The sequence below is a fragment of the Homo sapiens genome, chromosome 11 (assembly GCF_000001405.40).
Source record: "Homo sapiens chromosome 11, GRCh38.p14 Primary Assembly".
In the NCBI taxonomy this organism is placed as follows: domain Eukaryota; kingdom Metazoa; phylum Chordata; class Mammalia; order Primates; family Hominidae; genus Homo; species Homo sapiens.
The window spans coordinates 60,598,201-60,625,018 of record NC_000011.10 but is presented as its reverse complement, the minus strand read 5'-3'; the positions used below and the strand labels follow the sequence as shown (position 1 = coordinate 60,625,018).

Here is a 26,818-nt window from a genome sequence, read left to right as displayed (position 1 = left end):
TTTCACCATGTTGGCCAGGATGGTCTTGATCTCTTGACCTTGTGATCTGCCCACCTCGGCCTCCCAAAGTGCTGGGATTACAGGCGTCAGCCACTGTGGCTGGCCAAAATAGGTAATTTTTAAAGAGCAGTTTTAGGTTAATGGAAAAGTTGAGCAGAAATTTTCCATATACCTCCTGACTTCCCCTTTATCATTATGTAATGCCCTACTTTGTCTATTTTGATCTTTGTTGGTTTAAAGTCTGTTTTGCCAGACAGTAGGATTGCAACCCCTGCTTTTTTCTGTTTACCATTTGTTTGGTAGATTTTTCTCCATCTATTTATTTTGAGCCTGTGTATGTCATTGTATGTGAGATGGATCTCTTGAAGACCGCATACTGGTGGGTCTTGGTTCCTTATCCAGCTTGTCACTTTTACATTTAAGATTAATATTGATATGTGTGTATTTGATCCTGTCATCATCATGTTAGCCGGTTATTTTGTCAACTTGTTTATGTGGTCGCTTTATAGTGTCACTGGTTTGTGTACTTCAGTGTGTTTTTGTAGTGGCTGGTAATGGTCTTTCTTGTCCATATTTAGTGCCTTCTTCAGGAGCTCTTGTTAGGCAGGTCTGGTGGTAACAAATTCCCTCAGCATTTGCTTGTCTAAAAAGAATCGTGTTTCTCCTTCACTTATGAAGCTTAGTTTGGCTGGATATAAAATTCTGGTTTGAAATTTCTTTTCTTTATGAATATTGAATATTGTCCTCCAGTCTCTTCTGGCTTGTTGTATTTCATCTGAGAGGTCTGTTGTTAGTCTGATGGGCTTCCCTTTGTACATGACTTGGCCTTTCTCTCTCACTACCTTTAATATATGTTTTTCTCCTCATATTGGTGTTGGAAGAATCTGATGATTGTGTGTCTTGTGGATGATCTTCTTGTAGAGTATTTTACTGGAGTTCTCTGCATTTCCTGAATTTGAATGTTGGTCTCCCTCACTATATTGAGGAAGTTCTCATGGATGATATCATGATATATGTTTTCCAGATTGGTTCTGTTCTCTGCATAGAACCAACCATATCTTTCAGGTACATCAATCAGTCATAGATCCAGTCTCTACATTATCCCTTATTTTCTTGGAGGTTTTGTTCATTCCTTTTCATTCTTTTCTCTCTATTCTTGTCTGCCTGTCTTTTTTCAGAAAGCCAGTCTTCAAGCTCTAAGATTCTTTCCTCTGCTCGGTTTATTTTGTTATTAATACTTGTGTTTACATTATGAAATTCTTGTAGTGTCTATTTTGTCTGTCAGCTCTTGCAATGTTTTATTATGATTTTTAGCTTCCTTGCATTGAGTTATAACATACTCTTGTAGCTTTTTTTTTTTAATTTATTTATTTTTTATTGATCATTCTTGGGTGTTTCTCACAGAGGGGGATTTGGCAGGGTCACAGGACAATAGTGGAGGGAAGGTCAGCAGATAAACAAGTGAACAAAGGTCTCTGGTTTTCCTAGGCGGAGGACCCCGCGGCCTTCCGCAGTGTTTGTGTCCCTGGGTACTTGAGATTAGGGAGTGGTGATGACTCTTAACGAGCATGCTGCCTTCAAGCATCTGTTTAACAAAGCACATCTTGCACCGCCCTTAATCCATTTAACCCTGAGTGGACACAGCACATGTTTCAGAGAGCACAGGGTTGGGGGTAAGGTCACAGATCAACAGGATCCCAAGGCAGAAGAATTTTTCTTAGTACAGAACAAAATGAAAAGTCTCCCATGTCTACCTCCTACTACACAAACACGGCAACCGTCTGATTTCTCACTCTTTTCCCCACCTCTCCCCACTTTCTACTCCACAAAACCGCCATTGTCATCATGGCCCGTTCTCAATGAGCTGCCGGGCACACCTCCCAGATGGGGTGGTGGCCGGGCAGAGGGGCTCCTCACCTCCCAGTAGGGGCGGCCGGGCAGAGGCGCCCCCCACCTCCCGGACGGGGCGGCTGGCTGGGCTGGGGGCTGACCCCCCCACCTCCCTCGCGGACCGGGCGGCTGGCCGGGCAGAGGGGCTCCTCACTTCCCAGTAGGGGCGGCCAGGCAGAGGTGCCCCTCACCTCCCGGATGGGGCGGCTGGCTGGGCAGGGGGCTGACCCCCCCACCTCCCTCCTGGACGGGGCGGCTGGCCGGGCGGGGGGCTGACCCCCCCACCTCCCTCCCGGACGGGGTGGCTGGCCGGGCGGGGGGCTGACCCCCCCACCTCCCTCCCGGATGGGGCGGCTGGCCGGGCAGAGGGGCTCCTCACTTCCCAGTAGGGGTGGCCGGGCAGAGGTGCCCCCCACCTCCCGGACGGGGCGGCTGGCCGGGTGGGGGGCTGACCCCCCCACCTCCCTCCCGGACGGGGCGGCTGGCCGGGCAGAGGGGCTCCTCACTTCCCAGTAGGGGCAGCCAGGCAGAGGTGCCCCTCACCTCCCGGACGGGGCGACTGGCCGGGCGGGGGGCTGACCCCCCCACCTCCCTCCCGGACGGGGCGGCTGGCCGGGCAGAGGGGCTCCTCACTTCCCAGTAGGGGCGGTCGGGCAGAGGTGCCCCCCACCTCCCAGACGGGGCGGCTGGCCGGGCGGGGGGCTGACCCCCCACCTCCCTCCCGGACGGGGCGGCTGGCCGGGCAGAGGGGCTCCTCACTTCCCAGTAGGGGCGGCCGGGCAGAGGCGCCCCTCACCTCCCAGATGGGGCGGCTGGCCCCGTCGCGGGCTGACCCCCCCACCTCCCTCCCGGACGGGGCGGCTGGCCTGGCGGTGGGTGACCCCCTCCTCCTTCCTGGACGGGGTGGCTGCCGGGCGGTGACGCTCCTCACTTCTCAAACGGGGCAGCTTCCGGGCGGAGGGGCTCCTCACTTCTCAGATGGGGCGGCCAGGCAGAGACGCTCCTCACCTCCCAGACGGGGTCGCGGCCGGGTAGAGGCGCTCCTCACATCCCAGACGGGGCGGCGGGGCAGAGCCGCTCCCCACATCTCAGATGATGGGCGGCCGGGCAGAGACCCTCCTCACTTCCTAGATGGGATGGCGGCCGGGAAGAGGCACTCCTCACTTCCTAGATGGGATGGTGGCTGGGAAGAGGTGCTCCTCACTTCCTAGATGGGATGGCGGCCGGGCAGAGACGCTCCTCACTTTCCAGACTGGGCAGCCAGGCAGAGGGGCTCCTCACGTCCCAGATGATGGGCGGCCAGGCAGATGCTCCTCACTTCCCAGACGGGGTGGCGGCCGGGCAGAGGCTGCAATCTTGGCACTTTGGGAGGCCAAGGCAGGTGGCTGGGAGGTGGAGGTTGTAGCGAGCCGAGATCACGCCACTGCACTCCAGCCTGGGCAACATTGAGCACTGAGTGAACCAGACTCCGTCTGCAATCCCGGCACCTCGGGAGGCCGAGGCTGGCGGATCACTCGCGGTTAGGAGCTGGAGACCAGCCCGGCCAACACAGCGAAACCCTGTCTCCACCAAAAAAATACGAAAACCAGTCAGGCGTGGCGGCGCGTGCCTGCAATCGCAGGCACTCAGCAAGCTGAGGCAGGAGAATCAGGCAGCGAGGTTGCAGTGAGCCGAGATGGCAGCAGTACAGTCCAGCTTCGGCTCGGTATCAGAGGGAGACCGTGGAAAGAGAGGGAGAGGGAGACCGTGGGGAGAGGGAGAGGGGGAGGGGGAGGGGGAGGGAGAGGGCAACGTGTAACCTTTGTAACTTCACTTCAGCGTCTCTATTTCAAGCTCTTTATAGATACACACAGACAAAGGGAAAATCACAGCAGTAGGATTGCTGGGACTCAGCTTATCAACTCTCTCCCATTGGGTAACTGAGATAGAGGAATCAATGTCTCTTTCCTTAAATATTTGGGATCTGCAACACTAAAACCATTTATCTACTCAAGTAGCAATGAATCTTACCCCCAACATTCTGGTTTCTTCTTTCAACACAATGTGAGATGATGGCATGTTATCCAAAATATGGTGTAGACATTAGAAAGGATGAATGGAATCTATCTCTAAAAGGCAACATAGAAAAAATAAACATAGTGATTTTAAAAATAGTGATCTCAGATAAGCACTTAAAGGTCATTGAGAACCCTATTATTGTTGTCTTTAATTTTTAAATAATGAAACCGTTCCCTGAAATAGGTATTTAAAATTAATCAATTGATATGCTCTCTTGGACTTGGCTAACCTCTTGGCAATTCTAATTGTCCTATTAGATTTTATACATTTTTACCAATTTTAAATGACATCCTGTGGGTCCTTAGGATGCTAAGATGCAGACAGCATAATTTAATATGGCTTGTTTAAGCAAAATAGAACATGAGTGAGCTCACGTAATCACTGGGAAGGGTGGGCTTTTCAAATAATGCCAGAGACAAATCGCTGATCAAAACTGAGGAGGAAGTGCTCTTGCCATTTCCTGCCTCAGAAGTCTGTTGTAGAACTGGCATCATGATAAAACCTTCCCTGTCTCCTGGACCATCATCTGTCCAATTGATGCCTACTGTAGGGTCTCTTTTGTTGTTCTCTCCTAAATCAAACTTTAGTGCAAGAATGTGTAATTGGCAGAACCTAGATCAAATGCCTGCACTTTGATTTCAAGGGAGGCAAGGGAATATAATTTTTTGGATTCCATTTTGGGAAAGGTAGCTTTTACAACTTAGTGACCAATAAAAAAGTAGGGAAGATGTTTAACACATGGCAGCCATGAATGTTTAAAAGATGGCAGCCACAAATTATCTCTATGACTTCGCTATTGTGGACACCATTTTGGGTATGTGGCCCACTCACCTCTGTTTCATGCTTGTCATCTGTAGGAATTATTCCCTTATTGTACTAACTGGAAGAGAGGTGGGGAATCTGTCTCATGTTGGATCCATCAGTGTCACTTTCCCAGGAATTGCATATTTAGAACTTAGATATTATAACCTTAGTCTGGGTTTGCTTCTAGATGAGATTATATAAACTCTTGAAATGAAGAACATTAATGTGTTCTACCGCATAAGCTGAGAAGACGTCCAGAAAAATAAAAAATAAAAAATAGACCAAGAGAACTACTGGAGTTCCTAATAACTTTCAATTTCCTAGTTATAGTCCTTTTCTGAAGCTGAGATGTCTTCCTGCCCTTGGAAAATACATGTTTCTTTGTTTTGCTTAAGCTAGCAAGAGTTGTTTTCTGTTACTTGCAGCCAAAGTCTTTTTAAATTATTGATTTGTCTTTCTTATAACTCTTGCCATATGGCTTTGAGAATTTACTCTTTAGATTTTACAATATCTGATGGATCTTTGTTCATTACCTAGTTTAGATTTTTTCTCAATATTTTGCCAATAGCCAACTCTGAAGTCTAAGATCTTGGTTTCAAAATCTTTACTTATATTATTTTTCTTTCTGATTTACATCATCCACTAATTCCTAAGGATCAGTTACCAAATAGATGTACCAATGACACATGAAACTAAGAAAATGGAGCATAGTGTTGTGAAACAAGTGGATATAGACTTGAGTTCAAATCTTGTCTATATTGACTGCTAACTGTATAATTGGTACAACTACTTTTAGACTAATAACAGTTGTCTATATTAATTACTAATGTTAAGTTCTACTTAATATTTCAGAGAATTAGTTTTCTAATCCCACAGAGTTGTTTTGGGAAGCAAATAATAGGAACTGCCACAAAGTCAAATGCCAATAATGCTTTTTTCCTGTTTCCCTTCAACCTCTCTCCAGTTACTTGTATCAGATTCCCGATTCCCCTATAGTTTTGGACACTACTTTTGGTTTCTTTTCCAGATTTTATTAGAAACAACCTCACTGGTTATTTGTGGGCAGCAAGCCACCCAGGTGCCAAGGCAAGAGACTGAAGGCACAAGCTGTTCTGGTATAATAAAGAAAATACTTAAAATAAGAATAGTTATATTAGACATAGAATATAGATATGATTATCTATGAATATTACTAATCATTAGTTTATAGCATTATTCTTTATTCCAATATTATAATAATCTTTGTTCTACAATTATAACCTAGGAAAAAACAGGCTATACAGAGGTAGGAGCTGAAGGGACACGGTGAGAAGTGACCAGCAGAGTGTGAGCCCTCTGTCATGCTCGGACAGGGCCACTAGAGGGCTCCCTGGTCTAGTGGTAATGCCAGTGCCTGGGAGGGCTCCCATTACTTAGCCGACCTTGGTCTAGCGGTAGCGCCAGTGCCTCGGAAGGCACCCGTTACTTAGCAGACCTGGAAAGGGAGTCTCCCTTTCCCGGGGGGAGTTAAAGAAGACTCTGCTCCACCATCTCTTGGGGAAGGCCTGACATGAGTCAGGCCTGCCCACAGCCATGCGGAGGCCTAACCGTCTCCCTGTGATGCTGTGCTTCAGCGGTCACGCTCCTGGTCCACTTTCATGTTCCACCCTGTACACCTGGCTCTGCCTTCTAGATAGCAGTAGCATTATTAGTGAAAGTATTAAAGTCTTTGATCTTTCTGAGAAGAGCATAGAAGAAATAATGACGTAAGCTGTCCTCTCTCTCTCTGCCTTGGCTACCTAAAAGGGAAAGGCCCCCTGTCCGGTGGACACATGACTCACGTGACCTTATCAATCACTGGAGATGACTCACACTCCTTACCCTGCCCCTTTTGCCTTGTATCCAATAAATAGCACGGTCAGGCATTCGGGGCCACTACCGGTCTCCACGCCTTGGTGGTAGTGGTCCACCAGGCCCAGCTGTCTTTTCTTCTATCTCTTTGTCTTGTGTCTTTATTTCTACAATCTCTTGTCTCTGAACACGAAGAGAAAAACCCACAGGCCCTGTAGGGCTGGACCCTACAGGTTATTTCACACCATTCCTTTGAATTATTCCCTTGAGTTACAATTTGCTACAAAATAGCAAAATATGAAACCACCCAATCACCACAGCAAAGGAACCTAAAAGCTTAAATCCAGCCTCTATAATATGACCACAGTGGCATTTCTAAAACAGAAATCACATGTAGGAATCACTTGCTTAAATCATTCTACCACAAAGACACATGCACTTGTATGTTCATTGCCATGCTATTCACAATGGCAAAGACATGGAATCAACCTAAATACCCATCAAAAGTGGACTAGATAAATATGACACATATGCACCATGGAATACTACGCAGCCATAAAAAAGAACAAAATCATGTCCTTTGCAGCAACATGAATGGAGCTGGAAGTCATTATCCTAAGTAAATTAATCCAGGAACAGAAAACCAAATACTGCATGTTCTTACTTATGTGAGCTAAACATTGAGTACACATGAACACGAAGAAAGGAACAATAGACACTAGGCCCTACGTGATGGTGGATGGTGGGAGGAGGTGAAGATAGAAAATCTACCTATTGGGCTGGGCGCGGTGGCTCACTCCTGTAATCCCAGCACTTTGGGCGACCGAGGCAGGGAAATCATGAGGACAGGAGTTCAAGACCAGCCTGGCCAACATGGTGAAACCCCATCTCTACTAAGAGTACAAAAAATTAGTTGGGCATGGTGGCAGGCATCTGTAATCCCAGCTACTTGGGAGGCTGAGGCAGGAGAATCGCTTGAACCCAGGAGGTGAGGATTGCAGTGAGCTGAGATTGTGCCACTGCACTCCAGCTGGGGTGACAGTGTGAGATTCTGTCTCAAAAAAAAAAAAAAATGGAAATCTACCCTTCAAGTACTATGCTTATTACCTGGGTAATAAAATAATCTGTATACCAAACCCCTATGACATGGAGTTTACCCATGTAACAAACCTGGACATGTTAAAATAAAAGTTGGAAAGAAAAAAAAATCTTTCAATGGCTCCTTGTTGTCTTCGGGCCACAGTACACATTTCTTTGTGTGGCACATTGGAGCCAGGTATATTTGGCCTATGCTTCTTTTCCCCACACAGCACTCCATCCATTCCTGACCGCTGACATTTCCACTACCATGTGATATTTAAGTACCTTACGATTTTTAAGTGCCTTCCCATATACATCATTGCTGCTGCAAAATCTCACAATGTCACAGTATCTGGCTCTAGCAATGAGTTTGCACATTGTTGGAAAACAATAATTGCTTGCAGAATCCTTTCTATCCATTTTGGGTATCTTGTGCCTTGAGTTTTGCATTAGAGATTATATAAACAGAAACTCATATTTTGGATGATAGGAATGGTTGATTTCCAAGAACAGTGATTTTCCAAGAGTTTCCCTGATTGTGTATTCCCTTTCCTGGCTGATGTGTTACCAGGAAATGCATGATACATTACCACATTACGTATAAATGGGTAGATTTGTTTATGCCAGTCATGAAACATGTTTGGGAAGTTCAGCCTTAGAGCATAGGTTCTCTGGCATTTATTGAATTAGTTTTGGGCAGCCTTGGAAGGTTACCCCAAAGACACATACTGTCTTTCTCCATAGCAGATGAACCCAAGGAGATAGAACAGACTTGACTGAGACATGCGGCAGGTACTAAAAAGTCTTGAGAAAGCAAACCTCGGTTTCAATGTTAAGGATCAAATTGAATTTATACACGCAGACAATATGAATTTCAAGAGGCGATTCTCAGAAGAGCCACTTTTCACACGAGGACTCTGTGGCCTGCTCCAGAGGAGCAGCAGCAGAATCTACTTATATAATCCTGGTTAAGGATTCTCCCTACTAAAGCTTTGTAGGTCAGCCAGGAAAGGGAATACACACAATCAGGGAAACTCTTAAGTTACTGTTCTTGGAAATCAACCATTCCTATCATCCAAAATATGAGTTTCTGTTTATATGATCTCTAGCGCAAAACCCAAGGCGCATCTCCTAAGCTAAAAAGAATATAGAAAGATGGTAAAAGATGGAAAGTAAGAGTCATTATTGCCACAACCATGACCCTGGGATCCCCAATTCACTACACTATCTCCATATTCTCCTCCTGTGAATTAGCCAATTTATTTTTACATGAGAGGATGCTGGGTGTGTCAAACAGGTCACTTATTGAAAACACACATTGGAAGAAAAGGTATTGAAAGAAATACGTGAAAAGTGCCACAGAGTATTAATTAAGGCTCTTTCCAACTGGAAGTGGTTTGGAAAACACTGTGACTATGGGGTCGTGGGGAACACCTGACCCTCAGCAGGTGCTAGTTTTATTCCCAGCGCCAGTGCAAATCCAACCAGGGATCCCTACACTCACGCGTGGGCCAACAGAGTGTGATCTGGCAGTCAACTTCCTCAATTTGGGGCCTGGCAGCCCCGGGAGCCCGGTGGGCGCTTCCTCGGTGGCGCCCCTCACCCTGCCTCGCGGGGTTCTAACGTCCAAGAGCGGGGCTGTCCGAGAGACCCGCGCGGACACCTGAGGCGCGGTGGGGCTCCCATGGCTCCGCGGAGCCTGCAGGCTCCCAAGACGAGGGTGGGGTGGCGGCTGACAACAATGCTGCCCTTTGCTGGCTGTGTGGGCATCATCCTCTGTCCCTGGGCCTGGCACACCCAGGAGGAAGAGGCTGTGCTTGATCTGTCGGCGGACTGATCACGTGGTGGCCCCACTGCTAACCCCAGACACACCCCCGCTTAGAAGCAGCATCGTTGTCAGAAGCTCGTTGCCACTTAGAATCCTCTGCAAGATGTGGTGGGTACAGCACTGCACTTAACTCCTTTGGTCCTTAGTTTATTATTTTGTAGAGTGGAGATGATACCCGCTCAGGTACCTCATACGCTTATACTGCAGAACTTTGAAAACCAAAGATGTTTTACAAACACATTCCACTGCGATTACAAACATATTCCACTGCAATAACCGGGTGCATATATGTCCGTCATGCTGAACCTGACAGTTTGAGTTGTATATTCAGTGTTTAACAACTATCCTCAACACATAGTAGGAATAAATGAATGATTGCAAGGTTTTGTCTAATTTATTAAAGTGTTAGCATCAGCTGGCTAATGAGTAATAGATGACAGTCATGTTTGTTGAACTCTTTTATGTTTGCCGTTTTTATGATTAATGAATTTAGCAAATTTCCACTGAGTGCCAGTATGTGCTAGGCATTGTTCTCAATGCTGGGGATACTGTAGTGAACAAAACAGATGAAATTCTAATAATAAGGAAAACAATAATAAGATTCATAAGGAAAATTTATAGCATGTTAAGAATAATGAGAGCTAAGGAGAATAATAAAGTATGAAAGGGAGGTGGCGTCAATGGAAATGTAAATGAGGGGAGTCAGGAAAGTCCTCATTACAAAAAAAACTTGCACACAAATGTTCATAGGAGCATTCTTATATATTCCTAATAGCCAAAAATGAAAACAACCCAAATCCCTATCAACTCATGAATGAACAAACAATATTTGGTATATCCATATAATGTATTATTTGATAATGAAACACAACAAAGTTATAGTTTATGCTACAGCATGAATAAGCCTTGGAATCATTACGGTAAGTGAAAGAAGCAAGTCACAAAAGACGTTCATATAAAATAGCCCTGGTAGGCAAATCCACAGAGACAGAAAGTAGACCAGTGATTTGCTAATACTGAGGTAAGTGGGTGGAGAATAAGAATTACTCCTAATGGGTTTGGGTCCAAAATTAGGTGGTGTTACTTACACAACTCTGTGAATATACTAAAAGCCACTAAACTATATACTTTAAATAGGTAAATTTCAGGCTGGGCACAGTCGCTCACGCCTGTAATCCCAGCACTTTGGGAGGCGGAGGCGGGCAGATCACGAGGTCAGGAGATCAAGACCATCCTGGCTCTACTAAAAATACAAAAAATTAGTCAGGCATGGTGGCGGGTGCCTGTAGTCCCAGCTACTTGGGAGGCTGAGGCAGGAGAATGGTGTGAACCCAGGAGGCATAGCTTTCACTGAGCTGAGATTGCGCCACTGCACTCCAGCCTGGGCAACAGAGCGAGACCCCATCTCAAAAACAAACAAAGAAACAAAAAAACCCACAAATAAATAGGTAAATTTTATAATATGTGAATTATATCTCAATGAAACTGTTACAAAAATGAAAGGCAAGATGTGTGCTTTATCTCTTTACTTATGAAATTTTGAAATAATGAACACCCTCCAAGGGTGACTATGATTCTTTTTCTTTTTTTTTTTATGGGGGAAGGAGAGATTGGCCTTTTAAATTTTTATGTATTTGCTTTGTTGACCAGTGCATGGTCCATATAGTGTCACTGACTTCCTCTCCCTAGAATATAAGCTCCCTGAAGGCAGGATCTTGTCTCTTCTGTTTAAATCTGTTGCCAGAAGCAAGAATTATGCCTGGTGCAAAGTAGATTGTCAAAAAGTAGTTTATGATGAATGTATGAATAAATGGAGGAGCTACCCTATATTTACATTTGCGGCTCATTCTCTCCGGTATCTCAATTGTGATATCCTGCTCTGTGATCAAAAACAAATATCTTTCAGATCTGCCATGTCATGACTCCCTATCTAGAGCTGTTCTTTGTGTTAAACTAGCTCAGGCTCTGAAGCTGGGACCTTGTTCAAGGATGCATGTAAATGGGGTCAAAGATTGGGGCTGCAGTTGCACCTGGTCTCCACTTGCAGGGCAGACTCCCTTGGTGCTGGGTTGATTAGCTAGGAGGAAGGGGCCTCAATTTCTAATTGTACTGTTCAGAGGGGACTTACCTTCTATTTCATTTTCCCAGAGGAGCTGTTATTAAGCAATCTGTCCTTTTGAACGGGGTACTTTTGTCTAGTTTGCACAAAGGCATCTTAGGTGTTAGCAGCCCCTTTTCAGATTATTGGCCCCCAATCTCTACATTTCTTTCAAAATTTCTGGCATCATATCCTTCCTCATTCAGCCTGGATCCCACAGATCCACTAATTATCATCTTATTAAAACCCACAAATGCAAGTTTGCCACCTTGTAATGCCACCTTTTCTGTGTAGGATATTTTAGGGAAACTCTCACAATGGCATGGATAGACACCCAACAAAGATGTCATCTGAAAGTCCAGTATCTTCATCTGTGCTTCTAATTAAATCGTTGAGTATAATTTGGCCAATTTTGCCTCTGATTCCTGGCAACTCTTAATCCAAACAAGTACTTTATTCATTACCACCCCTCACTCCTAAATGACTGCCTTGTCAATTTTTTCAAAGGAAAGACAAAGTCTCTCATGTTCTTTCTTATCCTTCTCATATGGAGGAATGGATAAAGAACATTTACATTAAAGCTAATTTTTCACTATTTTCTTACTTGATCAGAATTAGGTGTCTTTCCTCTATTCTAAAGTGTAATCTGTCCCTGTGCTACTAATCTCATGTCCTTCAAAGGGCTTATAAACCTTAATCCATCAATTATCTCTTTCTCCCCAGTATATTCAAATATTACTCCCTGCTTTGTATTTCTTCTCAACCCATACATTTATGCAAGTCTCTCTCACAGTTGTGGTTTTTAGTTCATGAAGGTAGACCAAGCAGATGCTACTTATTCTTCATATGAACTCCAATTCCAAGGAGCACACTTACAAAAAAAATTCCATTGCCACATTGAAAAATAAGAAGCAACTCTCTTGGTGAACCAGAATCTGTGAATTCCTAAGAGAACAAAAGTATACAGACTAGACTGAAGAAAAACACACAATAATAAAGGACCTGCAACAGAAGACTGTTCTAAATGGTGGAAATTTTTGCACTTCATAAACAAATGGCATATATGTAAATAACACAGATACTCTAATCTTGAATTTGTATCCCCCCAAATTACTTAAGGGGCAAGATGGGGGGAACCCAGTTGCCCATTTCTGGGACAGCGAATGTATAAATGTGCGGGGTGCATGGCACAGACTTTAGGCAGCATTTAAAATCAACTGATAGAGGTACTGATAGCCACACGGATAGATCTTTAAAACTTACTGTTAGGAGGAGCAAAGTTTGTGCATGTAATTTATGGGTGTGTATGAACTTCATGGATTCCAGATACATTCCTACAATAGAATGCCATACATTTTTGGGGAGATACTGACAAATAAAATATGCATGTTTTATAAAGTGGAACAATTGCTCATGGAGGGAGGGAAGGGGGAGTGGGGTATGGAGATCAAAGAAAATTTAAAAAATAGGAAGCATCCTTATAGACACAACAAAACATTTCTAAGATAATTTGCTTAAAATTTGAGTGTGATAAGCCACAGTGTAAAATTATAGGCAAAAATATGTAACGTTTTGGGAGCTGGACTTTCTAGACAAACTAAATCCAGTAGCTATTAATTCATGTAGTCTCAATAACATAAAGATATGGCTAATTGTAATATACCTTCTTCACTGTAGGTAAGCTATGCATGTTTTAATAATATCCAGTGAGAAAGAAATAATTAGTAGTATTTAGAGCTAATAAGCAAAGAAGCCTTCACAAGCAATGGGATTATTTATCATTTATGCGAAGTCTCCTTCTCACAATGAAATAATTTTCTCGAGTTAGCATTTATTACATCATTATCAATTTTAGGTATAGATTCTACTCTAGTAACATGTGCCCATTCATAGAACTTCTCTTGTATGGAAGAATCCCTTAACTCAGGCTGACCATATTCAAACTGAGATAAATTCATGCACAGTTCCTCATGTAGACAAAAATAACCATATTCATCAATTTTAATTTTTATTAATGAAATAGGGGGAAGAGAATACTGAGATGGATTTAATGAAATTACATTTTCCAAGAAGCCTCTTGAACAGAATGAAGTTCTTCATTTGCCACTAAACTTTCCTCCTTGACTGAGCTCACTGATGGTTTCTTTAATATGCAGAGAAAGGATCTCCTTCTGCCATGAACCTGAGGTAAGTTAGATATCAGTAAATTGATCATTAGCACACTCTAAAATAAAGAACTATAGAATTTGGGTTAGAATTTTGGAAATAATTCTAATAGAAGTATTCTCCTCATTGAGATTTTTATTTTATTTATTTTTTTAGAGATGAGGTCTCTGTCACCCAGCCTGGAATGCAGTGGCACTATCATTGCTCACTGTAACTCTGAATTCCTGGGCACAAGCCCTCCTTCCACCTTCCCCTCCTAAGTAGCTAAGGACTGCAGGGATGTGCCACCACTCCTGGGTAATTTTTTCAACTTTATGCATTTTATTTTATTTTATTTTACTTTACTTTACTATTTTATTTTATTTTATTTTATTTTATTTTATTTTATTTTATTTTATTTTATTTTATATTTTTGTAGAGATGGGGTCTCATTGTGTTCCCCAGGCTGGTCTCAAAATCCTGAGCTCAAGCAATTCCCCTGCTTTAGCCTCTCAAAGTGCTGGAATTATGGGTGTGAACCACCCCACCAGGCGAGATTTTTAAATTAAACCATGTGCTTTTGATACTTTTTAGTTTTTTTCTTTGTCCTCTCTCCCTTTCTCCCTGGTTTCCATCCTCCCTTCTTTTTTGTTTCTATAGATTGAAAGCCAAAGACAATGCTATATGAAAAGACAGTCCCCAAGACAATGATTGATCATAAAGGGCATATTGTTTTCTACTCAAACTTGATTACATTATTAAGTATAGCATTGAATAGCTGTCAGTTTAAATTCTATTTAGTTGGAGTAGAAATCTATATGTTCTTATATACCCAATCCATGTTTGTTCTCTTTTCACTTTATTCAGAGAAGAATTAAGAATAAGACCTCTGTGAGTGTGTGTGTGTGTGTGTGTGTGTGTGTGTGTGTGTGTTTGGTGTGTTTTGTTTACTTTGCTTTTAGTTAGAGCCATATTTTTTTGAGATTTCGAGTTTGAATACCTTTAGATGGAACTTCAGCTCCCCATTTTAATACCTTACTTAAAGAAGATTCATTGAAAGGCAATCAGTGATCCAGATAACAGGTTTTCAATACCCTAATTCATCTGGAATTATAGCTAATTCACATGTTTTGAAAAGCAAGTGACTTTTGCAGTACAAATGAAGATGTAGCCTCTGAGTGTCAAGAGAAAGTGGGAAATACAAGAAAAGAAATCTATATGATAAATTCCTCTCCCTCCTAATTCATTTTATCAGTTTAATTCAAAATAGAGATTCCTAAACAAAGCTATTTACAAATTAAGATGGTAAACTTAACAAGGCATATTTATGGAATGATAAGTAAATTGGTGAGGCTGGAGCACAGCATTTATGGGCGTGAGTGGTAGGAAATGAAGTCAAGAAAGTAGATTGGGCTAAATTATTACAGAAATGAATGTTGTGCTAGAATATCAGGCTTTCGTGTGGTAAGTGTTTCCTGTTTAAACTTTCATTTGGGGAGATGAAGAAACAGAGGACAGAATTGAAATACATTTAGGGGATCATGTAAAAAGGATTGTCAAATTGTTTCAATTTGAGAGTATTTCTCAGCTCCCTCGCCAGGGCAGGCAGGTAGATAGATGGTGGTGCTCTTAAATGGAAAAGACAAGGTAATGACTTTGTGGGTGAGATGATTAGTTCAGTTTTAGATATGTTTTATTTGAGGTGCTTTGGAATCCTTCGAATCAAACTCTCTAGAGAGAAGTTGGCAATATGAGCCTAGAGCTCAGTAGAAAGGTCTAGGGTGGAGATTTAACATTTGGATTATTATAAATTTATAGATGGTATACATCTACCAAGCTGTAGGTATATATGGTGTTGCCTATACAAAAACTATAGAGGTACAGTTGGAAAAGTCAAGGGACAGAACAGCAACCTGAAGAGATTAAGTAAGACCCAGGTAAGAAGGCAGGTCAAAGGGTCAAACAGATGAGATTAGAAAGTGGTAAAATGGGGAGGAAGCTTAAATTTCCTAAACCTTTCTACACATGTGGTCTAGGATATATGGACAACTCACTTTCTTCTTTGTGTTAACTGTGGTCTCCTTCTCAGTTGTTTTTATGATCTCATAGATCTCTAAGCCTCGGCCTGTTGAGTGGGTACTGGGGAAAAAGGGCAGGCATATCTTTCACTGAAGTTCTCTGATTTAGTGAGATTGAAGTTCTCTGATTTAGTGAGGTCAAATGGAGGTTAAGTTTTCCTTTAGACGTGAAGTAGTTGATATGGAGAAAGTAGGAAAATAGCTTTATTGAAAAAAGGCTTTACCATCTTTTTCAACTTCTCCATTACTCCCAAATCTTGGTTTCTGAAGACACTAAAGTTCTACACTTAGATATTCAACTTGTTCTCCCAAATTTTGAGAAATAAAGGCTTCAGTCTTCAGTAGTCCCATATCCCCGTGCCTGGTAACAACTTCTACAAAGCTTTTTGTTTCCAGGGTAATGTCTGTAGAATTAAACAGACCTGAGCCAGAAAATCACATATCTTCTACCTTATTCTCTCATATGTTATGGACATAAAAGCATCCTGTAATGCAAAACACCTTTATAAAAGGGAAAATTATTTATTCAGTTGTGGAGGGACCCATATAAGTGCATGACAGTTAGTGCCGAGTGTTTTCAGCTATCTACAATCACAGCTTAGTGATGGCATTATTTATACTTAATTCATATCAAAACCTTAGTTATTCAAATAGTGTTCATAACAGAAGACAACATCTTCTGATCTACTAAGGGAAAAATGGGATACTCACTGCATCTTTATCTTCTTCTCTTTTTTGCTTAGGATGCCCAGTGGCTGACTATACTTGCCACAAACAACTCCAAGATGGTTAATATGAACAGATATTCCGAAAGGAGTTTGCCACTTTTCTGTATCCACAAAGAAAATGTACATTCCTTACAGATCTTTCTATGTGAGCACTTTAGAAATAATAAAGGTATCTTAAAATTGAAGAAGAAAAATAGAAGAGAAAAACTACCCACCCTATCCTCCACCCTCAACAATAGAATTTTAAATATTTTTTAATTGTAATTACAATGGATAATTATTGAGGATGATGATATACTGATATATTTCTGCCAAATGTATGATGAGAATCATTGATTGTGTTTTCCTGTTTATTGTTGTGGATAATAACAGGAAATTTTCATTGAGTCCAATAAATCTCTGGGGAAGATGGAATTGTGACACCCTTGAGGTTTAGTGTTATAGAACTTATTTAATAGAGAAACTTACATAAATTTGCCCTGTTGATAGGAAAGGACACTAAAGAGAAACAATGAAAGAAAAGAATGTTTGGACTTGTAACCTGGACTCAACACAAGGGCTGATGTGACCTGGGGGTAGGAATTTCCTCCTGGGATTGTGCCTCTGTCTATAAGCTCCAATAGACCCATATCCTGACAGTATAGCTGGGTTAGAGACAAGAATACAGAATCCGTAATATTGGAAGCCCAAGCCTCTTCAGTACTCAGTGCACTTTTATGACAAGGTCACCATGGGCTACTCAAATCAGTGTTAAATAATGGCGTCATTTAATAGTAACTGAACCATAGCAGTGGAAATTAAGGGCACACTGGTGGACTGATGAGGTACTACATGACTCTGTTAACTAAGGGCTTGGAGTCAATATCGAACCTTTGGATCCCAGTGGTTTTGAGTAACTTGAGAGGGTCAACAGGGAGGGGCCCTCAGAAGGAAGATTCTGGATTTCCTACTAATATGAATATGATAGTTTAAGAGATAAATTAGAAAAATGAAAGAGTTAAGATCATAATTAAAGATCAATCCAATAAAATGAGCCATTCTTGTTATACAAATATAATCTTAAGCAATATCTTTATGTTTCTATTTATTTAAGATACCACTTTAAGGTATCCATCAGGGTATGTGTCATAAAATATTAGCATTCTCCGCAGCAGCAAAATGATTCTTTGATGTGCCACTGAATTGATTTTTGTAAAAGCTCCATTTTGTGGGGTAAGATAATTTAGAATTTAAAACCATTCTGCATTAGAAAAAATGATCTGTAAGTGACTAGCCACGTGACTCTGAGCAAGTAGTTTAAAATTTCTAAACTCATTTCTTTATTGAATCAGAGACATAAATCGTTCCTAAGGAGGTTTACCATTGCACTCACTGTAAAATCACTTTCAAAGCTACATAGAAATAAGAAAAATCCAATAAAATGCAAACTGGTGTATTCTTTGCAACTAGATAATTAACCAAGAGTTTTGGATGTTGAAGTAAGGAGAGTTTACTTAATTAGTTAGGAATTTAAATACAGGCAATATCCAATGGGTTCAATTCAGAAAAGTTGATTTCTAAGTATTGGTAAAAGTTCCCACTATTTTGCCCTTCATCAAGCCCTGGGCAGATGGGATAGAGCAGAAGGACCGAAATCCTAGAGAAGACTTTGGCCCTTATCGCTTCAATTTCTGCACAACTTGCTTAGCACTGACTTCTGCCTTCTTGCCCTCCTAGCCCCTTCTCTCTACACCAACAAATGTATACAGATAAATGCACATATGTCCACAGTTCCACATGAATGGGAACATAGATATACACAGATATTGAAATGCAAATGTGAACACAGTTAGACTCCCACAGACCTGCTGAACAACTGACAGACTCAAAGCAGGCAGTGCAAAAATGTCCACATAGTCATGAACGATATAGAACTGAGTACGTGCATTCAAAATTACATACATGTACAGAGTTCAGCTTTATTCTGTCTGTAAACTACAGCCCTGACATTGAACATAAGCCCTTGGGTATCACAGGTACATGAGTATGCCAGTTCCTTCTTGGAAGACCAAGTCTTGCTATAACAAACTTGATCTTTTAAGGCCTGGGAGAACTGACCTCAGAGATGCAGGTACCTGGAATGAACTGAGCTGCCCATCGTAAAAATATCATGGCTATCAGGTGGGTCCAGAATTGAATATAATGCTTAGTTACTCAAAATGCATCTATTAATATGTATAATACCTTTCATTTGTTTACTTGAGGTTTTGGTTGGTCTTAGGTTTAGAAATATAACTTGTAGTTTGATTCACATTTTTAATATATGCATATACCATGAGGTAAACTAATGGTGAGGGTCACCTCCATGACTTGCATTGTACTTAAGTAGTCTGACCACTTAGGAAATATTTAACACATAATTCTAAAATTGTGATGAGATTCTCACAGAAACCTGGTACATACATGTGGCCAAAGAGAATTTTTTGAACTTTTACTATATATTATAAACTCAACTGATAGTAAAAGCAGACCAATCACTGAAATACAGGCACTTACGATGTTTGCTACTAAAGTATAAGACACCTGCAATAGAGAAAAATAATCATTTGGTCATTGGAAATTATCCATATGCATCATTGACAAGTATATTAAAGTAAAAGTTTTTTTAAAAGTAAAAGGTTTATATAAATTCTGATCTTTTCAGCATAGTAGGATCATTACAAAGACTGTCAGAACTGCAGATTTGTCAGGATCCCAATAGGAATAAACAATTTTGGAGATGATAAAACTTTTGATATAATAAACAAGTTTATTTATCCACTGACAATTTATTGAATGCCTATTCTATATTCTGCAATCTATGCTCTGCATTAGTTGATAAAAAGGAAAGAAATGGTCTCTGCACTCAAGGAATTTTCAGACTATTGAGGAAGACAAACAAGTGCATGTTAAATATGAATAGAATGTAAAAAATTGTAATAATTTAGGCAAATTCATAGTGCCATACAGTTTCAGGATATCAGAGAACTAACATTTCAGGAGTTTGTTATGGTTCATTTTGGAGTGGAAGAAGGAGAGATGTAGAAAATTTTGTTGGAAAGATAGGTGCTATCTAGCTAGATATTTAGGATTTTATCTTGAAGATGGTAGAGAACTGCATGCATATGTATAATGCTGCTGCATAATTGCACTTTGTCCATGTATAGAATCAGAGAGGTGATATGATATTAAGAAGATCCTTATTTATTATATTTATTTCTTTGTCTACATTTATAGAAAAAGAATATAGAATATAGAATATTATATAATATAATATATAATATATATAATATATGATATATAATATGATATATATGATATATAATATATATGATATATATGATATATAATATATATGATATATATGATATATGATATATATGATATATATGATATATATGATATATATGATATATGATATATATGACATATAATATATATGATATATAATATATAATATGAAATATACTATATTTTATTTCTTTGTCTACATTTATAGACAAAGAATATACAATATATAATATATAATATATAATATGAAATATACTATATTTTATTTCTTTGTCTACATTTATAGACAAAGAATATACAATATATAATATATATTATATTATATATATAATATATATTATATATATATTATATATATTATATATATATTATATATATATATTATATATATAATATATAATATATATAATATATATATAATATATATATATAATATATAATATATTATAAATATAATATAATATATAATATAATAATATAATACTATTATAATAATATAATATATAATATAATATATAATAAAAATAATATTATAATAATATATGATACATACCATATATAATTACTTGGTCATTGGAAATTATCTAGTATTATCTAGTTTGTACAGGATATATAATATATGATATCATATATCATATATAAATATAATATATCATATATATCATATATAATGATATATGATTATATATCATTATATATTATATATAATTATGCATATGATATATATGATATATATGATATCATATATATAATATATCCTGTACAAACTAGATAATACCATTCTGGATATAGAAACCGGCAAAGTTTTCATGACGACACCAAAAGCAATTGCAACAAAAACAAAATTTGAAAATTGAAAAATGGGATCTAATTAAACCAAGCAACTTCTGCTCACAGCAAAATAAACCATCAACAGAGTGAACAGACAACCTACAGAATGAGAGAAAATTTTTGCAAACTATGCATCTGACAAATGTCTAATATCCAGCATCTGTAAGAAACTTAAACAAATTTACAAAGATAAAACCAAACATCCCCATTAAAAAGCAGGCAAAGGACAGGAGCAGACATTTTTCAAAAGAAGACATACATGTGGCCAACCAGCATATGAAAAAAAGCTCAACATCACTGATCATTAGCGAAATGCAAATCAAAACCACAATGGGATACCATCTCACACCACTTAGAATGGCTATTACTAAGAAGTCAAAAAATGACAGATGGCCATTTTCACGATATTGATTCTTCCTACCCATGAGCATGGAATGTTCTTCCATTTGTTTGTATCCTCTTTTATTTCCTTGAGCAGTGGTTTGTAGTTCTCCTTGAAGAGGTCCTTCACGTCCCTTGTAAGTTGGATTCCTAGGTATTTTATTCTCTTTGAAGCAATTGTGAATGGGAGTTCACTCATGATTTGGCTCTCTGTTTGTCTGTTATTGGTGTATAAGAATGCTTGTGATTTTTGTACATTGATTTTGTATCCTGAGACTTTGCTGAAGTTGCTTATCAGCTTAAGGAGATTTTGGGCTGAGACAATGGGGTTTTCTAGATATACAATCATGTCATCTGCAAACAGGGACAATTTGACTTCCTCTTTTCCTAACTGAATACCCTTTATTTCTTTCTCCTGCCTAATTGCCCTGGCCAGAACTTCCAACACTATGTTGAATGGAGTGGTGAGAGAGGGCATCCTTGTCTTGTGCCAATTTTCAAAGGGAATGCTTCCAGTTTTTGCCCATTCAGTATGATATTGGCTGTGGGTTTGTCATAGATAGCTCTTATTATTTTGAGATACATCCCATCAATACCTAATTGATTGAGAGTTTTTAGCATGAAGTGTTGTTGAATTTTGTCAAAGGCCTTTTCTGCATCTATTGAGATAATCATGTGGTTTTTGTCTTTGGTTCTGTTTATATGCTGGATTACATTTATTGATTTGCATATATTGAACCAGCCTTGCATCCCAGGGATGAAGCCCACTTGATCATGGTGGATAAGCTTTTTGATGTGCTGCTGGATTCAGTTTGCCAGTATTTTATTGAGGATTTTTGTATCAATGTTCATCAAGGATATTGGTCTAAAATTCTCTTTTTTGGTTGTGTCTCTGCCCGGCTTTGGTATCAGGATGATGCTGGCCTCATAAAATGAGTTAGGGAGGATTCCCTCTTTTTCTATTGATTGGAATAGTTTCAGAAGGAATGGTACCAGTTCCTCCTTGTACCTCTGGTAGAATTCGGCTGTGAATCCATCTGGTCCTGGACTCTTTTTGGTTGGTAAGCTATTGATTATTGCCACAATTTCAGATCCTGTTGTTGGTCTATTCAGAGATTCAACTTCTTCCTGGTTTAGTCTTGGGACAGTGTATGTGTCGAGGAATTTATCCATTTCTTCTAGATTTTCTAGTTTATTTGTGTAGAGGTGTTTGTAGTATTCTCTGATGGTAGTTTGTATTTCTGTGGGATCAGTGGTGATATCCCCTTTATCATTTTTTATTGCGTCTATTTGATTCTTCTCTCTTTTTTTCTTTATTAGTCTTGCTAGCGGTCTATCAATTTTGTTGATCCTTTCAAAAAACAAGCTCCTGGATTCATTAATTTTTTGAAGGGCTTTTTGTGTCTCTATTTCCTTCAGTTCTGCTCTGATTCAATGCCATCCCCATCAAGCTACCAATGACTTTCTTCACAGAATTGGAAAAAACTACTTTAAAGTTCATATGGAACCAAAAAAGAGCCCGCATCACCAAGTCAATCGTAAGCCAAAAGAACAAAGCTGGAGGCATCATGCTACCTGACTTCAAACTATACTACAAGGCTACAGTCACCAAAACAGCATGGTACTAGTACCAAAACAGAGATATAGATCAATGGAACAGAACAGAGCCCTCAGAAATAATGCCGCATATCTACAGCTATCTGATCTTTGACAAACCTGAGAAAAACAAGCAATGGGGAAAGGATTCCCTATTTAATGAATGGTGCTGGGAAAACTGGCTAGCCATATGTAGAAAGCTGAAACTGGATCCCTTCCTTACACCTTATACAAAAATTAATTCAAGATGGATTAAAGACTTAAACGTTAGACCTAAAACCATAAAAACTCTAGAAGAAAACCTAGGCATTACCATTCAGGACATAGGCATTGGCAAGGACTTCATGTCTAAAACACCAAAAGCAATGGCAACAAAAGACAAAATTGACAAATGGGATCTAATTAAACTAAAGAGCTTCTGCACAGCAAAAGAAACTACCATCAGAGTGAACAGGCAACCTACAAAATGGGAGAAAATTTCTGCAACCTACTCATCTGACAAAGGGCTAATATCCAGAATCTACAATGAAATCAGACAAATTTGCAAGAAAAAAACAAACAACCCCATCAAAAAGTGGGTGAAGGATATGAACAGACACTTCTCAAAAGAAGACATTTATGCAGCCAAAAAACACATGCAAAAATGCTCATCATCACTGGCCATCAGAGAAATGCAAATCAAAACCACAATGAGATACCATCTCACACCAGTTAGAATGGCAATCATTAAAAAGTCAGGAAACAACAGGTGCTGGAGAGGATGTGGAGAAATAGGAACACTTTTACACTGTTGGTGGGACTGTAAACTAGTTCAACCATTGTGGAAGTCAGTGTGGCAATTCCTCAGGGATCTAGAACTAGAAATACCATTTGACCCAGCCATCCCAAGGACTATAAATCATGCTCCTATAAAGACATATGCACATGTATGTTTATTGCAGCACTATTCACAATAGCAAAGACTTGGAACCAAGCCAAATGTCCAACAACGATAGACTGGATTAAGACAATGTGGCACATATACACCATGGAATACTATGCAGCCATAAAAAAGGATGAGTTCATGTCCTTTGTAGGGACATGGATGAAATTGGAAATCATCATTCTCGGTAAACTATCGCAAGGACAAAAAACCAAACACCACATGTTCTCACTCATAGGTGGGAATTGAACAATGAGAACACATGGACACAGGAAGGGGAACATCACACTCTGGGGACTGTTGCGGGGTGGGGGGAGTGGGGAGGGATAGCATTAGGAGATATACCTAATGCTAAATGACGACTTAATGGGTGCAGCACACCAGCATGGCACATGTGTACATATGTAACTAACCTGCACATTGTGCACATGTACCCTAAAACTTAAAGTATAATAATAATAATTAAAAAAAACAACAAAAAATGACAGATGCTGATAAGGTTTTAGAGAAAAAGTAACACTTATACACTGTGGGTGGGAGTGTAAATTAGTTCAATTAGTGTGGAAGACAGTGTGGTGATTCCTCAAAGACATAAGAACAGAACTACAGTTTGACCCAGCAGTCCCATTACTGGAAATATATCCAAGGGAATATAAATCATTCTGTCATACAGACACATGCATGTGTATGTTCACTGCAGCATGATTCACAATAACAAAGCATGGAATCCACCTAAATGTCCGTCAATGGTAGACTGGATAAATAAAATGTGGTACATATACACCATGGAATACTATGCAGCAATAAAAAGGAGAAGATCATTTTCTTTGCAGGAACATGGAAGGAGCTGGAGGCCATTATCCTTAGCAAACTAATGCAGGAACAGAAAACCAAATACCGCCTGTTCTCACTTGTAAATGGGAGCTAAATGATGAGAACACATGAACACATAGAGGGAAACAACACACTGGAGCCTATTGGAGGGTGAGGGTGAGAGAAGGGAGAGGATGAGAAAAAATAACTGATGGGTACTAGGCTTAATGCCTGGGTGATGAAATAATCTGTAAAACAAACCCCCATGACACAGGTTTACCTGTATAACAAACCTGCACATGTACCCCTGAACTTAAAATAAAAGTTAAATTTAAAAAGATATGTATATTTCCTTCTATCTAATATGAATTAGATAATAACTACAAAAGCTTAAACTACTGAATTCTGAAACCAGTTTCACTGGATAAAGGATGTGTTTATTGAAGTTGCTGTTGTATGTTGTATAGTGATCTCAACTAATTTATTCTTTTGTAACAAATCTCCCTTAAAGAAAGACAAATTAAAATAAAATGTTTATTATTATGTAAACATACAACTGTATTGCTTAGTAAATTTTGGCGTGTTGACATAATCCAGTCTTTAAAATGAAGTATATTTGGTAAATATTTCATTTTCTCAACTATACAGTAGGCAATAGCTATGTCAAAATAATCTGTTTTTATTTAGAAAAGAGCCACCTTGTTGAGGAAATGCATGAATAAGACCCCACGGAGCAGATGTTCTTCTCTGGAGCATGAAGTTTTTCTGGGAAAAACTTATCTGAATAAAACAAGCAGAAACACTTGTTTTGATTCCTGCTCTCGGGGTGGTATTGGACATATTTAAAGTACACAATTTGATAAATCATTAATACAAAAAGATATACAATAAGTGCACTGTAAGAAGAGAGTGAAAATATGGAGGAACTGGAATACTCAGCCTGTGAGTGGAAATGTAATATGCTACAACCACTTTGGAAAACAGGTTAGCAGTTTCTTGAAAAGTTAAACATGCATATATCCTATGACTCAGGTATTTACTAAAGAGAAATGAGGGCATACGTCTGTACAAAGACTTGTAAATGTTCATAGTAGCTTTATTTGTAAAAGCTCAAAACTGGAAACAATGCAAGTTCCATCAATAGGTGAATGGATAAATGAATTGTGATATATCCATAAAATTGAATATCACTTAGAAATAAAAAAGGGATTGATAATTTATATACATGGATGAATCTCAGGATAATTATGCTGAATGAAATAAGTGAAACAAGAAAGCATATGTACTGTATTATTCCATGTGTATAAAACTCTAGAGAATGCAAATTAATCTGTAGTGATAAAAAGCAGATAAGTAGATGCCTGGGGGAGGCAGGGTTTTGAGGAGGGATAAGCAAGAGGGATGACAAAGGGGCAGAGAAAACTGTTGGAGGTAACATATGCACTGTCTTATTGTATTAATGGCTTACCAAATTGTGTACTTTAAATATGTACAGCTTATTGATTATTATATGTCAATTATGCCTCAATAAAGCTATTAAAAATTAAGAAAGAAGAGCATGAAGGGGCACTATGAGAGCCAGATGCAATAAAAAAGTGTGAGGCATGGGATAAGCTACCCTCTATGACCCTGCCATCTACTATGAAGTTTTGTTTGTTTTTTAGTAATTTTTGAAAATAGAGACCATATAAACATTTTTTTTTTTTTTTGAGACAGAGCCTCACTCTGTCACCTGGGCTGGAGTGCAGTAATGGGATCTTGGCTCACTGCAACCTCCACCTCCCAGGTTCAAGCAATTCTCATGCCTCAGCTTCCCAAGTAGCTGGGATTACAGGCACATGCCATCACGCCCGGTTAATTTTTGTATTTTTAGTAGAGACAGGGTTTCACTATGCTGGCCAGGCTGGTCTTGATCTCCTGACCTCAAGTGATCTGCCCATCTTGGTCTCCCAAAGTGCTGGGATTACAGGCATGAGCCACCGTGCCCAGTGAGATGGTATAAAGAATATTTTAAGCAACACTTTTATACTTTTATTGCAGCCAGAGAAAATAATCAATTATTAACCTTTATTTAAAAAAACCCAGGCTTTATTTCTAAAATAACTAAAACATTTCAGATAAAAGTTTTCTTGCCTAGTTCAATTTCAGGTTTTGGCTATTGTGAATAAACTCCTATAAACATATAGGCAAGTTTTTGTTTTCTGGTTTTGACATACGTTTTTATTTCTCAGAGGTAAGTGCCTAGCAATGAATTGCTGGGTCATATGGCAGGTATATATTTAAATTTTGAATGAATGACCACATATTTTTACAAGGTCATGGTGTCATTTTACACTTCCAATGACAATATGAAGGGCTTGTTTTCTTCACATACTTGTTGACATGTGGTGTTAAGTATGCTATTTCTTCCCTTTTTGGCTTCTATTT

General features: G+C 39.5%; 2 long non-coding RNA genes and 1 pseudogene across 5 annotated transcripts in view; 1 reads left to right on the top strand and 2 right to left on the bottom strand.

Moving 5' to 3' along the window:
• Nucleotides 1-9,268, bottom strand: part of LINC00301 (long intergenic non-protein coding RNA 301) — a 71,399-nt gene extending 62,131 nt beyond the window's left edge. The window contains exons 1-2 of the long non-coding RNA NR_026946.1: nucleotides 9,167-9,268; nucleotides 3,901-3,998 (exon numbers count right to left, since the gene is read on the bottom strand). This is a non-coding gene — a long non-coding RNA (long intergenic non-protein coding RNA 301). The remainder of the gene's footprint in view (nucleotides 1-3,900; nucleotides 3,999-9,166) is intronic.
• The window catches only part of LOC105369321 (uncharacterized), a 95,635-nt gene extending 78,911 nt beyond the window's left edge, over nucleotides 1-16,724 (top strand). For all 4 annotated transcript variants that reach the window (XR_001748240.2, XR_950146.2, XR_950147.3 and 1 more), the window contains 2 exons: nucleotides 13,612-13,775; nucleotides 16,555-16,724. This is a non-coding gene — a long non-coding RNA (uncharacterized LOC105369321). The remainder of the gene's footprint in view (nucleotides 1-13,611; nucleotides 13,776-16,554) is intronic.
• MS4A19P (membrane spanning 4-domains A19, pseudogene) overlaps nucleotides 16,601-26,818 on the bottom strand; it is a 30,563-nt pseudogene continuing 20,345 nt past the window's right edge.